This window comes from Homo sapiens, chromosome 1, assembly GCF_000001405.40.
Source record: "Homo sapiens chromosome 1, GRCh38.p14 Primary Assembly".
Taxonomy (NCBI): Eukaryota; Metazoa; Chordata; class Mammalia; order Primates; family Hominidae; genus Homo; species Homo sapiens.
The window spans coordinates 66,858,985-66,877,684 of record NC_000001.11 but is presented as its reverse complement, the minus strand read 5'-3'; the positions used below and the strand labels follow the sequence as shown (position 1 = coordinate 66,877,684).

The following is an 18,700-nucleotide window of genomic DNA, read 5'->3' as shown; positions in this document are numbered from 1 at the left end:
CTGGAAGAGAAAAATGACATTAGTTAAATTTAAGGAAATTAGAATAAAATATGGACTTTATATGATGATAAAATAGCAATATTGTAGTTGTACTAAATGTACCAAAGTAATATTAACAATAGGGAAAACTGGATATAGGGTATACAGAAACTCTAATTATTCTTACAACTCTTCTGTATACCTAAAACTATTCTAAAATACAAAGTTTACCAAATGTTGAAAAAAAGTCTAGAGGTAAGTCCAAGCAATTATTGCTAAGCCCTTGGGTGATTCTGTTGCAGGGTAAAGTTTGAGAACCATTGCTTTACCATATAACTAGAAGGAGTTTTGTGCTTAGAAAAGTTTGTGGTTTTAATTGCAAGGTAGGGGCCAAACAGCATCTCATGCACAGGTTGTCTCTGGATGCTCTCAGTTAATAAATAAGTCACTAATAGATACTTTTGACAAGTGAGGAGAAGGGAGGAAGAATAAACTGCTTTTGTGACTCAATTATGCTGTAATTGTATTGGGCCCATTGAAGCTAAAGTAGAGGCCAAGGAAGGCTTCATAGGTTGTTCTCTACTGGGGTCTCTGAGAATAGCCAAACAATTGCATCCCTTTTCCTCACCCTGTTCTGAATTAATTGAAAAATATGATAAGGGTAAATATGATGAATTGGAGCCAAAATATCACATTATGGATAAAAGTCCCCTGTTAAACCCTCACATTTGACAGACTTACCCACCCATTCACGAAAGGTTCTAGACCACTTCAGGACTCTCCTAACCCTCTCAAGGGGATTCATGAGTAAAGGTGTGGAGAGGAGCCATGATTGTCATACTAGGCTGGAGCTCCCTCCTCTGGGAAGAACCTTTAGGAGTGTAGATGTTCCCTCCATCATTGGCAGTCAAGAGGAGCAGGCAAAACAGATTGATAGAATTGTGATTCTTTTCTAGGTGGAGAGAGAGGTGTACTCAAAATCTGTGGTACAGCCAGTCTAAAGTTAGGGGATCTGACCCATGAAATAGGCAGATTCTATAGGTAAAGAGTGTGGTTTGGGGGTAGTTTCTGAACATATAGTAAATTCAAGCAACATTTAGGAAATGGGTGATACAGAACTCCAGGCAAAAATCCTATTTGCCATCCTAGGGCTTTGTCTATGAATGGTAAGTCCTCTGCCATCAAGAAGGTTGACTAGACTATTACTTTTCCCAACCGTAATAACTGAGATGTTACCATATTAGGTTCTATATATGTAATTTATCTAATATAAGATCATTTATTTTTATAATTAGCATGTCTGTGCCACAATGTTACTTTGAAGTTTATATAACTAAATTGCAAAGGAAGATCTGGTGGTCTAACAGTAAGAAACCTCAGAGAATCAAGAGCCTAAATCGCTAGCCTTAAAATTGTTAGTATTCCTGTGTGGACTTTTCACTTAACCTCTGTTTTTTATTTTCTTCATTGACAAAAAGTTTGGACTACATGTACCTCAAATTTTGTTCTTGTGGATAACTCATTTACTTCTTTACTCATTTTGTCTGTCTTAGTCAAATTTACTTATATAAATAAAATCTTTTACTTATTTTTAAAATTTATTACACAAATAGAAAAAAATTAAAGAATATTTTTAAAAAAGAAGAATCACCCAAAACTAAAGAAGATTTGCAACTTAAAATTTTCTGTTTCCTGACCTTGTTTATCTGCATAATATTTTACATTCTTATTACCATAGTACAGATCATGTTCTGGGCTGCTCTGTCATTTAACATTTTAGAACATATTTTCAAAAATTTGTATTATTACATTACTTACTATTTATTAGTCATAGATGGTATATCATAATTTATTTAGTCATTAAAAATGTTGATGATTGGTTTTTGGAATTAATAACTTGTTTTTTTTTAGATTATAAGGAAGGTGTTTTTCTCAGCTCTGAACCTTTTTAAGAGGAGACTGAGACGTTTTTAAGTTTTCCTAAAGCTGTCCAAGCTTTACCTATCCCAAAGGCTCATGAATGTCTGCTGTATACCCTGTTGTTGATAGAAAACATTGAACTCTCACTTATATACTTTCTCATGGCTGTTACCCACATAACCAATTCCAAACTCTCCCAGCTGTGAAACTCAATTCTCAATGGAATTTTCCAAGGACCTTGGATCAAGTTCTGACTGTCCTAAAGGTTTATGGCCAATTATTTTCACTCTATTATTTGCATAGACATTGGTTCCAATTTTATTTCTATAGTCAACCAGGACTAATATAGTAGAGTCTTTACCCCTGGTGAAGATGATTAGAGGTGGAATGACATCTAAATTAAAAGACAGCTAATAAGGAGGGCAAATGAAGGATAAAAGTTTGCTAAAGCAACGAATTAGAAGTTAACTTCACGGCTCAAAGAAGTGTTGCTTATTATGCCCCCTAAATATACTTGCCTCCATATTCTTGAGTAGTACCAACAGTTGCTAACCCCAGTTCCCAATTAATATTGTGGGATAGTTATAATGGAATACCCTTAGAGTTATGACTATTGGTATTAGACTGGGGTAGGCTTGTTATGTCAGCAAGAAGGCTGTTTATGGCCTACAAGATCCAATTTGGCTTCAGAAAGGTTGAATATACTACATCTCACAACCTGGCCTGTTCCTTGACTATATAAACCACCTGCAATATATTACCCATTATGGTATATTGGTGACTAGAAGGAAAAATGCAAATTAAAAATAGCAATTAGTAAATGATTTTAATTAAGTCATGTATTTTAGATTTGCAAGTTATAAGGGCAGCACCTGAAAAAATTGTAACAAAAGAAGACCTGGAGAAGAATATAGAGATAATACTCACAGAGACAGAAACACTGAGATTTTTTGACTTGCCCACAGTCATGGTCTCTGTAGAATCTGAAGAAGCTGAGAAAGTAACGTATGTATGGTTCAGTTGTCTACATTGTTTCTGTAATTCAAATGCTAAGCCAAGGGTTCTTATCCTTGTTTCTGTGAAGGGTCCTTGGGGGTTCTGGGGTATACACTATGGGGTTTGGGGGGAGACTGTATATTCCCTACAAAATTATATACAAAGTTATATAAGTGCCATGTGAACTTTTATGTTCATGTTTATGTTGTGTGTAAATTTTTCTAGAGGAAGAGCCCATAGCTTTACCATATTTTTAAATAATTAGGCGAACTTCTAAGCCAAATAACAGAATAAGCTTCCAAGTCTCTATATAGGTTTTAATTATTTTTACTTTTATACATATATAAATCATTTTCAATTTAAAAAGAAAGAAATGACATTTTTATAGTAATAGCCAAACCGCAATTACTTTTGCACCAACCTAATATTTAAAACTTAGGAAGGCAAAATATGGGTAAATAAATGAATTTACTATATTAGAGAAGTTTTCCATTTCTCTTTATTAATGAATATAAATAGAGTTAGTTTTGGTCTCAAGTATTTTGACAGTCTGTTGTTAGGCAGATACACATTTAAGGATTGTTATGTTTTCATGAAGAATTGACCCCTTTATCATTTTGTACTATCCCTCTTTATCCCTAATAATTTTTCTTGTTCCGCTCTCCTCCATCTAAAATTAATATAGCTACTATAAGTAGATTATTAATAGTTATTCTGATTATTTTACCTAAAGTATTATTTGAATAGGATTTATAGTACTAAAAACTCCATCACTAAAATAATTTTAGGGTATTATTCCTTCTCAAAATCTAAAATATTATAATATGGTTTGGACTATAAAACATAGTACATGTTAGATCATGAATAGCGTACCTTTAAAAGCTCATAAGAAGGAAGGGAAAGTTCCTAGGACCAAAAAAAAAAAAAAAAAAAAAAAGGAAAGAGGGAAAAAAGAAAGGGACAGATAATTGCTTTGAAATCAGAAGGGGAGAAATGCTGGGAAGAAATGTTAATATTAACATATGGATCTGGAGACCAGTGATGAGTCTTGGGTTCTCCCAACCCTTACACTGAAAGAGCTGAAAGAGAGATTCTTGTGTTAAGCCAAGACTCTCAAAAGGAGCTCAATTATCTCAACTGATCCTAGGCCAGTAGAGTCAACTCCCTACTGTCAGAAGCAAACACAAATCTCTGGAGCAAAGCATACCACCATTTTGGCTCTTAAGATTCCTTCAGATCACCTGGATGTGGTGGCTCATGCCTGTAATCCCAGCACTCTGGGAGGCCAAGGCAGGAGGATGGCTTGAGCCCAGGAGTTTGTACCAGCCTGCAACATGGCGAGAGCCCTATCTCCACAATTTTTTTTTTCTTTTTTGATTAGCCGGGCTTGGTGGTACATACCTGTAGTCCCAGCTGCTCGGGAGGCTGAGGTAGGAGAATCACTTGATTGATCACGGGAAGTTGTGGCTGCAGTGAGCTGTGTTCATGCCATTGCATTCCAGCCTGGTCAACCGAGAGAGACCATGTGACCATGTCTAAAAAAAAAAAAAAGGAAGAAGAAGAGGAGGGAGAGGAGGGAGAAGGAGAGGGAGAGGGAGAAGGAGAGGGAGAAGGAAAGGGAGAAGGAGAAGGAGAAGAATTCCCTCAGGTTGAATTTGGTATAGATCCTGAAGACTATAGATAATTATATTATCAGATATAGAATATAAAATATGTGTGAAATGTTTAAACAAATAAAAGACAGAGTTAAAACATGATTAACATTAAGAAACTGTCAGGCCGGGTGTGGTAGCTCAAGCCTTTAATCCCAGCACTTTGGGAGGCTGAGGTGGGTGGATCACTTGAGGTCAGGAGTTTGAGACCAGCCTGGCCAACATGATGAAACCTTGTCTTTATTAAAAATACAAAAATCAGCTGGGCATGGTGGTGGGCACCTGTAATCCCAGCTACTCAGGAGGCTGAGGCACGAGAATTGCTTCTCCAGGAGGGGAAGGTTGCAGTGAGTGGAGATCACCCTGGACAACACAGTGAGACCACATCTCTTATTATTATTATGTATAAATAAATAAATAGATAAATAAGAGCATTGGAATATAAAAGTAATTTCATTAAAAAATAAAAATAGAAAAAATATTTTTTAAAAACACGTCACCTACAGAGGAACAATTAAACTGACAGCATTATTAGGGATAAAGTGTACTTCATAATGATAGGAAGGTATAGTAATCCTGAACTTGAATATTCCTAATAAAATAACATGGGCCAGGCACGGTGGCTCACACCTGTAATCCCAGCGCTTTGGGAGGATGAGGTGGTTTGGATCACCTGAGGTCAGGAGTTCATGAGCAGCCTGGTCAACATGGTAAAACCTCGTGTCTACTAAAAATACAAAAATTAGCTGGGCGTGGTGGCTTATGCCAGTAGTACCAGCTTCTCGGGAGGCCGAGGCAGGAGAATCACTTGAACCTGAGAGGCGGAGGTTGCAGTGAGCTGAGGTCACGCCACTGCACTCCAGCCTGGGTGACAGAGCAAGACTCCGTCTCAATAAATAAATAAATAAATAAATAAATAATAAATAAATAAAATAACCTGAAAATATGTGAAGCAAAAATTGGAAACTTGATACATATCCTGTTAAAGTAGGAGATTTAAACACACCTCTCTTAATTATTGGTAGGTCAACCAGAGAACACATTAGTATGGATATAGAAAATTTGAATAAAAACTTAATGGTCAGATACAGACTTCTGCACTCAACAATTAGAGAACACATTCTCTTTCAGCACACATGCAGCATTTATAAAAAATTATTCATAAGGCTATGAAGCAAGGTCTCAAAAATTTCAGAATAGAATTATACAAATGAAAATTTCTGGCCACAGTGCAATAAAGTTAATAACATAAATCTCAACTAAAACAGACACATTTACATACACATTTGGAAGTTCAAAAACACATTTCTAAATTCCTCATGGGTCATCAAAGAAGTAATGGAAAATTTAAAAATATTCAGAACTAAAACCTACATGGAGTTAGTACTAGCATGTTATTGATAAGGTACCGATAGTAGTAGGGATGTTGGGAAATAGACACAGTATAAAAGAGTCCTCTGGAGGTCATTTAGTGCAGTCTTTTCCTAAGGCTTTTTTTGAAGTCTCACTTCACTTTTTGGTGCAAGCCACATTAAGGAAAGTAATTTTAGGGAAAAGAATAATATAAAGAGATAATACGTGTGGTGATGATTCTTATTAATGAGTTGGATACACTTTATTTTTTACAGTCAGAGAAACAAGAATTATGAAGTCCTTTGTAGAAACAGATTAGGCAATGACCTATATGTTGAAAGGATGATGCAGACTTTCAATGGAGCACCAAAGAATAAAGATGTTCAATGTGATAAAATCATAATGGAAGATAAAGGTAATTTCTATCATTCTGCTTGATAAACTATAATGTTCTAATATACATTTTTTGAGTCTGTCAATCGACAAGTGAATATTGAAATGTATAAAGCAAAAATAAAAATAATTTGGCCAAACCACAACAGTAGTTGGACACTGTGTTCTATAGCTTTCAGAATTTGACATGTTAAGTAATAAATATATAGATTTGAATAACATAATTATTCATCTTGGTTTTTATGCATACTATATCATAGAACTTTATACTCTTTAAACGTTTATATAAACTGATTATTTACTATGTCACAAAGAATATCAGCCATAACTATTAACATTTTAAATGTGTCAGACACTATGTCCTTCACATGTATTAACTGGTTTAATTTTTACAGCAACCCTATGAGGTAGATACTATTATGCTTCCCCATTTTATAGATGAGGAAACAGGCAAAGAGAAGTTTGCTAACTGTTCTGGTTCTAGAGCTTGTGCACTTAACTACTATACTTACCACCTCTCACTGTGTACAAATTAACAACCCTGAGCACATTGCATAGCCAAAATCTGTAGGGTGTAGCCAAAGAAGTAATTACAAGCAAAGTTATATTTTTCCTTTTTTTTTTTTTTTTTTTTTTTTTTTTTGCGTCAGAGTCTCACCTTGTCACCCAGGCTGGAATGCAATAGCACAATCTTGGCTCACTGCAACCTCTGCCTCCTGGGTTCAAGCAATTCTCCCCCTCAGCCTCCCAAGCAGCTGGGATTACAGGCACCTGCCATCATGCCCGGCGAATTTTTGTATTTTTATAGAGATGGGTTTTCACCATGTTGGCCAGGATGGTCTTGAACTCCTGAACTCAGGCGATCCGCCCACCTCAGCCTCCCAAAGTGCTGGGATTACAGGCATGAGCCACTGTGCCCAGCTGGTTATATTCTTTTTTTTTTTTTTTTGAGGCACAGTTTCGCTCTTGTCACCCAGGCTGGAGTGCGATGGCGCAATCTTGGCTCACTGCAACCTCCGCCTCCCGGGTTCAAGCAATTCTCCTGCCTCAGCCTCCCGAGTAGCTGGGATTACAGGTGCCCACCACCATGGCCAGCTAATTTTTGTATTTTTAGTAGAGATGGGGTTTCACCATGTTGAAGGCTGGTCTCAAACTCCTGACCTCAGGTGATCCTCCCATCTCGACCTCCCAGAGTGCTGGGATTCCAGGCATGAGCCACCGCGCCTGGCCATGGCCGGTTTTATTCTTAATTGCCTTTATTATGCAGCAAAACTATAAGCTAGTTTTTACAAAAGATTAACAGAACAAACCCCTAGCAAAAAAATTAATCATTGCTTTTAATCAAAGAACATACATACATCTTATTGGTGAGAGCATTTATTCCTTACTCCTAATGTTTTCTTTTATGTGGAAGAACATGAGTGGATATCTTTATCTCCATCTCTTTCTATTCTCTCACTCATTCCTACTTAGGAGTGGAGGTATGACTTACTTGATTGGTAAATAACCATACATGGGGATGTACGGTTATTCCCCTGCTTTCCCTCTTCTAGTAGCCTGCTGGCAGAAAGGAATACAAATTCTGATTGGTTTCTCCATGCTATAAATTTTATAGGGGGAGGACTCAACATTGTTAGGCCTGTGGTTATCAAGCTCATTGTTGCTGCACATCTAAACTGTATCAGCCAATCTAAACATTATCAGTAATAAAGGTAATTTTGATCTCTGTTTTATTCCTTGTCAGTTTCTTAATTGGTGCAAACTTGGATGGACCCAGAAAAGTGAATTCCTAGATGATATTTAGTAACTTTTTCTAGTCCTTAACCAATTCATATTAAGAAACCTATTCATATTTTTTCCAAATATTAATATGTAGTAAAGGGTTTAAATATTTTTAAATGGATTACTGTATGTAACTTTAGGTTTCCAATTCATATTAGGAAACCTATTCATATTTTTTTCCAAAAGTAAAGGGTTTAAATATTTTAAATGGATTACTGTATGTAACTTTATGCTAAAATATTTGAAAATAAAAAAAGAATGATTCTTTATGGAACTCAAAATTATCAACACTCCCCAAGAAGTAATAGAATTATACATTAACTCAAAGAAATGGGAAAATTTTATCAAAAATACCATTTTAAAATGGCCTAGATCAAGGTCAAATTACTTTAGAGGTTTATTCTGTAAATGTGAGAATACTTTATAATATTCATGTGTATTAGGATTCTTCAGAAAAACAGAACCAATAGAATATGTATATATATATATATATTCATATCTAGGATTTATTTATTTATTTATTTATTTATTTATTTTGAGACAGAGTCTCACTCTGTCGCCAGGCTGGAGTGCAGTGGTATAATCTCGGCTCACTGCAACCTCCGCCTCCTTGGTTCAAGTGATTTTCCTGCCTCAGCCTCCCAAGTATCTGGGACTACAGGCGCACCAACACACCCAGCTAATTTTTGTATTTTTAGTAGAGACGGGATTTTACTGTGTTGGCCAGGATGGTCTCGATCTCCTGACCCCATGATCTGCCCACCTCGGCCTCCCAAAGTGCTGGGATTACGGGCATGAGCCACTGTGCCTGGCCAATTTATAGTTTATATCTAGTATTTATTTATAAAGCGATTTATTACAGGGCATTGGCTTATGTAATTATGGAGGCTGAGAAGTACCATAATCTGCCATGTGCAAACTGGGGACACAGGAAAGCTAATGTGGTAGTTTGAAGCCCTGAGAGTTGAAGAGCCAACAGTATCGATTCCAGTCTACCTCTGAACACCTGAGAACCAGGAGCACTGAGGGCAGGGGATTGATGCCCCTACTGAAGTAATCAGGCAGAGAGTGAATTCAACCTTCCTCCACCTTCTAATTCTATTCAGCCCTCAGTGTATTGGATGATGCCCACCACATTGGAGAGAGCCATCTGCTTTACTCAGTCCACCAATTCAAATGTTAATCTCTTGTGAATACACCCTCACAGATACACCCAGATACAACGTTTAACCAGCTAGCTAGGCATCCTGTGCCCAGTCAGGTTGACATATAAAGTTAACCATCACACCATGTTATTTAAATTGCTCCAAGTCATATAAAATATGAGGATATTTTGTAGTTTTTAAAACAAGGTTAACAAAACATTACAAAGAAAATATAGACTAATCTCATAGATATGTGGAAAAATTAAAAATATAGTAGTATAAATTTGAACCCTCAAGGCATTAGGAATCCCTATAGCAACAACTTATTCTAGGAGTATAAAGATTATTAAATATCAGGAAAGCTATGATTCATCATTACAAAATCATATTTATAGGTTTAATGTAAAACAAGAACGGTAAATGCCAAAAAGAGCAGTTGATGCAATTCAGACTTCATTCCTGATGAAATTATCTGTACAGGAATGGTATGGATCTTCTTGATAAAATATTTAAAATAAAAAGCAAAATTTTTGCTTTCAGGTGAACCACTAGAGATAATAATTGCTGTGATCTATTAAATATAAGAACCAGAACATAGTGTCACTTATCACAGTAACTCTTCAAGTTTGTTTTGGCAGTTCCAACTATTGCAGTAACACAGCAACAGATATAAGATACTAATATTTATAAGGATTCAAAAACAAATAGTCATTATTTGTAGGTGACATTAGTGTCTACTTAGCTACCTCAGGAATATCAACTAAAAAAAATAGTTCCAGGATGATGCAACAAAAATGGCAGAGTAGGTAGTTCTGACGTGTCCCTCCACAGAAATGCTCCTAAAATTGAGCAAACGCTGTCAGAATCTGTTGCATTCATGGAACAAGAACAGAATGTTCTTTAAAAAAAAATCCAAAGAATAAAAAGATCTTGATAGCTTAATAAAATGTTTGGAAGATAACAAAAAAAAAATTCCAAGAAGTAGAGAAGAAAAACAAAGAGATGGAAAATCTAAGAGAAACAATAAAATTAGAGGACCAATCCAGAAAGTTCAATAGTCAATAATGGTTCCTAAAATAGAAAATGGAGGGGAGGAGATAATTCAGTAAAACCTCTCAGACTTGAAAGTCAAAAGTTGGAAGATTGAAGGGGAACAACAAGTGCCAGCATATTACCAATAAATGAAATTTTAAAATGTGGGGGACAGAAAATGTCCACAAACTACCAGAGAGAAAAATAAATAGGTCAGTGTAGAGAACAAGACATCAGACTGGTTGGAAACAAGAATGTAATGGAACACTGCTGATATGCTTGGCTGTGTTCCCACCCAAATCTCATCTTGAATTTTAATCCCCATAATTCCTACATGTTGTGAGAGGGAAGAGGTGGAGATAATTGAATCACGGGGGTGGTTACCTTCATGTTATTCTTGATAGTGAGTGAGTTCTCATGAGATCTGATGGTTTTATAAGGGGCTTCCCCCTTCGCTCGTCACTCGCTTTTCTCACCTGCTGCCATGCAAGACATACCTTCCACCATGACTGTGAAGCCTCCCTTGCCATGTGGAACTGTGAGTCAATTAAAATTCTTTATAAATTACCCTTGGTAATTTTTAATTTTAATTTATAATTACCCTTGGGTATGTCCTCATAGCCACATGAAAATGGACTAATACAACTGCCTTCAAAATTTAGAAGGTAAATAATTTCCAGTCTAGATACTACATCCAACCAAATGTCAAGTATGATGGTAGAATAAAGACATTTTCATATATGCAAAGTATCAAAATAATTTACCCCTCCTGTATATTTTTTCAAGAAGTCAAGGATGTGCTCAACCAAAACCAACTGTGAAACAAAAAAGAAGAAGACAATAAAATACATTGAACAGGAGATCTGACATAGGAGTGAGGTGATAGTAGTTCCCAGAAGGATGATGACTAGATAGCCTAGGATTTCAGCTGTTCACCAAACATAGAAGGCAACCTATTTACATTAAAACTTGAGATTGACATATTGATCACTACCATAACCTAGATGCTTGCTAACATTATACAATCTCTTTAACCTGAGGACAGAATACTTAGGTACATTATCGGTCTGAATTCTTTTCTGCATCTAGCTTGCATTTACCATTCTTTTTTTTTTCTTTTTTTTTTGAGACAGAGTCTCATTCTGTCGCCCAGGCTGGAGTGCCATGGTGCAATCTCAGCTCACTGCAACCATCGCCTCCTGGATTCGAGTGATTCTCCTGCCTCACCCTCCCAAGTAGCTGGGACTACAAGTGCCTGCCGTCACACCTGGCTTATTTTTGTATTTTTACTAGAGATGGGATTTCACCGTTTTGGCCAGGCTGATCTCAAACTCCTGACCTCAAGTGATCCACTGTCCTCAGCCTCCCAAAGTGCTGGGATGAGACATGAGCCACCACACTGCCTTTACCATTCTTAATCCAGTTCCCGCTTTCCTTTTCAGTAGGCCTCCATAGTTAAGCTGAAGCTCAATTATTTGAAATGCCACCTTTCCATAAGTGACTGTATGTATACTGTCAGGGAAAACTTACTCCTCCCTTTTTGTGAACCTTTACAGAAATAACTTCTGCTAAATTAACACTTCTGGCCTCTCTCTATACATTATTTACTCATTCCCAGGAAAAGAGAAGTGACTAATTCCATAAGAGAATTTAGGAGAAGGAATGAAGCTCGGTCATTTCTGGCTGAGGCACTTTTTGTTAAGTCTGTCCACTTGCAGAAAACATGCAATCTGGGCTGTTCTTACCCCTGTGGAGGAAGTCTGTGCTTGTCTAGCTGTGACAGTTACTGGTTAGTAATTCTTCCCTATATTCTGGAAGGAAGAATTAGCAAGTCCATTTAGTTGCAGATTTAAGGCTACATTTTTCAATTAGACTTATCAGTAATAAAGGTAATATTTTGACCTCCATTTCTCTGATTCTTGTATCTCTTCCAGTTTCATCCAAAATCAGGCAGGGAAAAGGTACACTTTTATTGATCCATAAAATCTTTTTGTTGTTGTTGTTGTTTTGAGATGGGGTCTTGCTCTGACACCCAGGTTGAAGGGCAATGGCGCAATCTTGGCTCACTGCAACCTCTGCCTCCCAGGTTCAAGTGATTCTCGTGCCTCAGCCTCCCAAGTAGCTGCGATTACAGGCACATGCCACCATGCTGGGCTAATTTTTGCATTTTTAGTAGAGATGGGGTTTTCACCATGTTGGCCAGGCTGGTCTCAAACTCCTGACCTCAAGTGATCTGCCTGCCTCATTCTCCCAAAGTGCTGGGATTACAGGCGTGAGCCATCACGGCTGGCATCCATAAAATCTTAATATTTACTTAATTTGCATCTAAATTCTTTAGTGTAAACTTTCATTATTTAAAAACTTTATTATGAAATATATACCGCAAACAGAAGAGCATACAACACATACATGTGTAGTGTAAAGAAAAAATCAATACCATGTACTCACCAGCCAGGATAAGAAATAGAACATCCCCAGTTGATTAGAAGCCCCCTGTACACTGTCCTATCACAACCCTCTTTCTTCTAGCCACCTCTAACAGAAGTATCCACTCTCCTAACTTTTGGGTTGATCATTACCTTGCTCTTTTTTGAGACAGAGTCTCGCTTTGTTGCCCAGGCTGGAGTGCAGTGGCACGATCTCGGCTCACTGCAACTGTCTCCTCCTGGGTTCAAGCGATTCTCCTGCCTCAGCCTCCGGAGTAGCTGGGTCTATAGGTGTCCGCCACCATGCACAGCTATTTTTAGTAGAGACAGGGTTTCACCATGTTGGCCAGGATGGTCTCGATCTCTTGACCTCGTGATCTGCCCGCCTCAGCCTCCCAAAGTGCTGGGATTACAGGCGTGAGCCACCGCGCCTGGCCTACCTTGCTCTTTTAAATGTTTTTTCTTTTATAGCAGATGCTGTAACTGAACTGCCCATATCACCTCTGCATTACCTCTTGCTAGCCAGTCTCCATCTGTTGACACCTGCGTTTCTTTGCCTTTTAGCAACTATTTAAACATGTATTACACTGAGAAATGCTTAAAAAAAAAGGCATAGTTTGGAATGCTTCTTTTCTGATACCAGTTAAAATAAGCTTTCTTTAATAGCATATAATTATAAAATTGGGAAGTCACAATTATTCATTATTACCCATCTTTTACATAACATTAGGGCATGAATTTTGAGACTTTTTTAACAGCTTTATTGAGTTAGAATTATATACAAAACTGCACTTATTAATGTATACAATTTGACAGGTTTGAAAGTTTGTTTCTTAGGTTAATTAAACTTGTTCAAATGAACAAATGTAACTATAGTACCCAAACTAAAATGAGCAGTAATTTGTTATCTACAAATAAGAGTCAACTTTTAATTATCCAAACATATTGTATTGCTTATTTATAATAGGCGTATTTATTTATGTAACAGTTATTAATGACCATGTAACAGTATGTTCCTATATGCTAAACTTACTAAACTTTCAGTTAAACAAAAGAAAAAGAAAGTTGAGTAATTCAGTGTTCAAAGATGTAATTTCTAAGTTCTCTTCATGAACATGGAAAATGTACTTTTTTCAACTGAGCAAAATATACTAGGTATTCTGTGCATGACTTTGTTAGATGGCCTTATGATAAGTTCATTAAGATATAAATATCATTAAGAAATTTGAGTTAACATTCTTACCATTGAGGCCAGGCATGGTGGCTCACACCTGTAATCCCAGCACTTTGGGAGGCTAAGGCAGGTGGATCACTTAAGGTCAGGAGATCAAGACCAGCCTGGCCAACATGGTGAACCCCATCTCTACTAAAAATACAAAAATTAGCCAGGCGTGGTGTGGGTGCCTGTAATCCCAGCTACTTGGGGAGGCTGAGGCAGGAGAATCACTTGAACCCGGGACACATAGGTTGCAGTGAACTGAGATTGCACCACTGCACTCCAGCCTGGGCAACAGAGCAAAACTCTTAAAAAAATGAAACAAAACAAACAAATAAACAAACAAAAAAACAAAAAACCCGATTATTACCGATTGAAAACATTGCTTTACTAGAGCTCCTCCATTTTGTATTAGGAAAATAATAGTTGTAGCAATTAAGAGGCTGCATTTATTAGATCCACATTCTGTTTTGATTTTTAAGGAAAAAAATTATTTATTAAATCACCATCCTTTAACTGAAAAATTGGTAAATTTAGCATGTACAAATATATTGTTACATGATCGCTGATAAAATAATTGCTGCATAAACATAAATCAGCAGTGGAAGAGACTTGGAGTTTTTAAGTTATTATTTAAAGATAAATAACATTGCCAATATTTGTTTGCAAACCATTGTTATATTTTTGATGATTTGAATAAATTTAACCTAAACTATAATTTTAAAAGAGACGATAATAACCGTACTACTATACAAGCTTCTTGAGATCAGAGTCTATCAATTTTCCCAGCAGGGGCAATCTTTTCACATAATAAGTGTATAGGAAATTTTACTTGATAAAAATGGAATCAGATGCTTGCAAATACCTGTTGACAATATATTATGTATTAATCATAAGTAAAGGAACATAAAAGTCTTTTTATAACATATTTGCCCAGATGCATATCACCAAGGCAGCCCTACAATGACAGACCAATGAGATTATGCTGTAGAGGTGTGGGGTAGTGGGAAGGGAGGTGTGATGGTCAGAAAATATTGTGAAGATAATTTGGAGTTATCCTTAAAGCATTAAAGTGTTTGTAGATACTAATAGTGTGATGACTAAGGATCTCTTGAGGTATCCTCATGATGTATTTCTTTGTCATTTCTATCCACTTCCAGTTATATTGTAAAACAATAGTGTTTTTAAAAATAAACAGTAGATTCTTTTTTAATTTTTAATTTCTTTAAAGAGAGGGTCTTACCATGTTGTCTAGGCTAGAGTGCAGTGGCTATTTATTCTCAGGTGTCATCATAGCACACTACTGCCTCTAACTCCTGGCCTCAAGTGATCCTCCTGCCTCAGGTGGACCAAGTAGCTGGCACGGGCAACTGCATCAGGCAATAGTAGATATTCTTATCTTAGCTTTTTCTGTGACTAGTTATGTATAAAGCTAAAATGTTGGAATTTGGTTTAAAACAATTTTTACCTTTCTGTGTCTTTATCTAGGCATAATGTCCACTGCCTGGGATTTGTATGATTCTTACAATGCTATGGAACTTGTATCTTTATCAGTAAAACAATCTGTGGTTGAGTCAAGTAGTAAAGCAAATGTACTTCCTAAAGATCAGGACCAAAGATTGCCAGGGAGCACTACAGAAAAAAGTAAGATTTCATTTATTTTAGTTTTTTTGAATGACTTTAACATGGCATTTTTAATAAATTCTTTTTTGGCAGTTAACAATGTTTTCTTTCTAATGGACCATGAAAAGTACAACTTTTACTCAGAAATAGCACTATTACTCTATCACATGGTCTTGGACTTAACTGAAAAATTTACATTTTTCTTGGATATCTGTCAAGAATTTTCAGTTTGTCTCTTTCTCTAGTGCACCTTTACTTGCTCTTAAGCTCTCTTTCCTACATGTGAGTTCCATCATTTTCTATCTCCCTTTTGTTCAATTAGATTACTTATGAGAAAAAGGATGTATACTAGCTCTATGACAACTTAAAATGGATTTATACATTAACAACAGTGGCTCTTAATTTGGGGCTATTTTACTTCCCCTGGGGACATTTGGATGTCTGGAGACATTCTTGTTTTTCATGACTATGAGGGCATCTACCGGGGATACTGCAAAAAATCTTTCAGTACACAGGACAGTCCCTGCAACAAAGAATTTTCAACCCAAAATGTCAGTACGTGTACTGCCATGGTTGAGAAACCCTACATTACAACTTTAGCTTCTAGTATTTTAATTTTTAAGATGAAATGTTATAATTAAAATCAATACAAAGTTGTAGCTTTCCAAATAAACTTTGCAATGTGGAAGAACCTTTACTAAGTCTAGTTATGAGAAGTTTGTTCAATTCCACTTCTGAATAGTTTATGGTTATCTACTTTTACTTTTCCTATTCTGAAATGTTGTATCTTTTTCTTACAAAATTATATTACTGCATTTAGGTGATGGTCCTCATTTTAGAATAACTAAAACCTGATACATTTTTTTAAGTTTTGGCAAATTTTTAAAATTAAATGGAAATGTTCCTACTTTCACTAATTTTGACCCAAAGACAAATGGAATATTTTCAAGTTCAGTAAATCAGTAAGTATAAGTATTTCGAAATAACAAGTTTAAAGAGAATAATTTCTGGAAAACAATTCCCTTATTTATAACTGACTACATTTCCTTAGGAGACTATAGATCCCAAAGACCTTTCGACTTGTTCCTTTTTTAAAATCTCATTTTCTAGTCTCTTTGAATCTTAACTTTCAATAAGTGGCCTATATTCCATAGTTCTTTAGCTATGTTTATGGTCATGTAAACTAGAGCTATGTTTTACTGAAGGTTGTTTATAATGAGGAATAGTTAATTTTCTAAGAGAACAATGAAGGGGAAGAATAAATTATTTAATATTCGTTATCACTAAAGAAACATTGTTTTTGTTAAGCATGAATGTCTATACAATAGGTTTGCTTGTAGAAGCTATCAAAAACTGCTCAGAACAATCCAATCTTAGACTGGAAATTACACTGGGACTTTATATTAGATCGATCTTTTCCACACCATTAAGGCCATTGACCTACAAAAATGTGCGAGTGCAAAGTCCCCCACAAAAAATAAATCTCAATTTGTGAATCTTTCAGAGTATTTCATGTGTGTATGGGTGTGCTTTTAAAAACCAAAAGGGACAATAAAACCATATTCAATAACTGCAATAGAAAATAAAGATATACTTTATTTTACTATTATAGCCAGTCAAGGGAGTAGGGGAAACTAGAACTAGGAAAAGAAAGTTAAAAAATAGAAAAAAATAGGTAACAAAGCTGAATAATCAGATTTATTGAAAATGTAAAGGAAATTCAGATCAAAACTAGGACTAGTTACCTCTAAGGTCCTTTTGACTCTGAGGTTTTTATAGTAGAAACAGAAAGGAAAAAAAAGTTAAATATGGTCCATATTTGATTTAAAAAATATTTTTATTCCATTTAAACTTTGAATGTATTATACAAGTTGCATTTAACCTTCTATTTATCATACTCAAGGGGGGAAAACGTCCAATAATATTTGCCTTTGAATGAAGACCATATCTCAGTTGATAGAGAAAAATTATTTTTTATTCTGAAATAGTGCTGTAGGTTTAGAAAATTGATTAATGGAATTTTCTAGTACAGTTTTAGATTTACAGAAAAATTGAGCATATAGTACCAAGAGCTCCATAAAATCCCTTCATCTCTCTACTTTCTGTGCACAGTGGCCCCTATTATTAATATTTTGCATTAATGTGGTATATTTGTTACAATTGGTGAACCAATGTTGATACATTATTATTAATTAAAATCCATAGCTTACATTAAGTTCCATTCTTTGTGTTATATAGTTCTTTGTATTTTAACAAATGCATAACGGCATGTTTCTACCATTACAGTTTTATACAGCAAAAAATTAATAGTTTCACTGTCCTAAATATCCCCTGTGGACCACCTATTCATCATTTCTCCTTTCTCTTGTACCCTTGATAGTCACTGATATTTTTATTTTTATTGTCTTTATAGTTTCGTCTTTTCCACATTGTCATATAGTTGGAGTCATACAATATGTGTAACCTTCTGAGACTGGCTCCTTTTACTAAACGATATGCACTTAAGCCTCCTCTATGTTTTTTCATGGCTTAACAGCTCATTTATTTTTGTCACTGAATAATATTCCATTGGATGAGTGTACCACAGTTTGGTTATATATTCACTTATTGAAGGACATCTTGGCTGCTTCAAATTTTTTGTAATTTCGAATAAAACGGTTATAAACATTCATGTGCAGGTTTTTGTGTGGACATAAGTTTTCAACTCATCTGAGTCAATATCTAGGAGCCCGATTTTTGGATCATACAGTAAGAGTATCCCTAGCCTTTTACGAAACTACCAACTGTCTTCCAAAGTGGTTGTACTATTTTGCATCCATTAGCAATGAGTGAGCATTCCTGTTTCTCATTCTTGCCAGCATTTGGTATTTTTAGTTTTTTTGGATTGTAGCCACTCAAATATGTATGTAGTGGTAGCTCATTATTGTTTTAATTTACAACCCCCTAATGTGATATTGAGCATCTTTATATCTTTTTTGGTGAGATATCTATGTGGATGTTTTGCCCTTTTAAAAATTTGGCTGTTTGTTTTCTTATTGAGTTTTAAGGGTCCTATGTACAATTTAGTTCTTTATCGGATATATGTATGTACTTTCTCCTAGTCTATGGCTTCTCTCTTCATTTTTATTAGCAGGGTTTTTCATAGATGATACATTTTTAATTTAAATAAAGTCTAATTTATCA

The 18,700-nt window shown here is 35.7% G+C and overlaps 1 protein-coding gene across 13 annotated transcripts in view; it reads left to right on the top strand.

Annotated features, from left to right (window-relative positions):
• DNAI4 (dynein axonemal intermediate chain 4) overlaps window positions 1-18,700 on the top strand; it is a 111,972-nt gene that overhangs the window by 47,172 nt on the left and 46,100 nt on the right. For 12 of the 13 annotated variants that reach the window (XM_017002354.2, XM_047430752.1, XM_017002353.2 and 9 more), the window contains 3 exons: window positions 2,748-2,904; window positions 6,176-6,315; window positions 15,383-15,538. In XM_017002354.2, the coding sequence (XP_016857843.1) occupies window positions 2,748-2,904; window positions 6,176-6,315; window positions 15,383-15,538 (453 nt within the window). The remainder of the gene's footprint in view (window positions 1-2,747; window positions 2,905-6,175; window positions 6,316-15,382; window positions 15,539-18,700) is intronic. The other variant, XM_024449821.2, reaches the window with a different exon arrangement.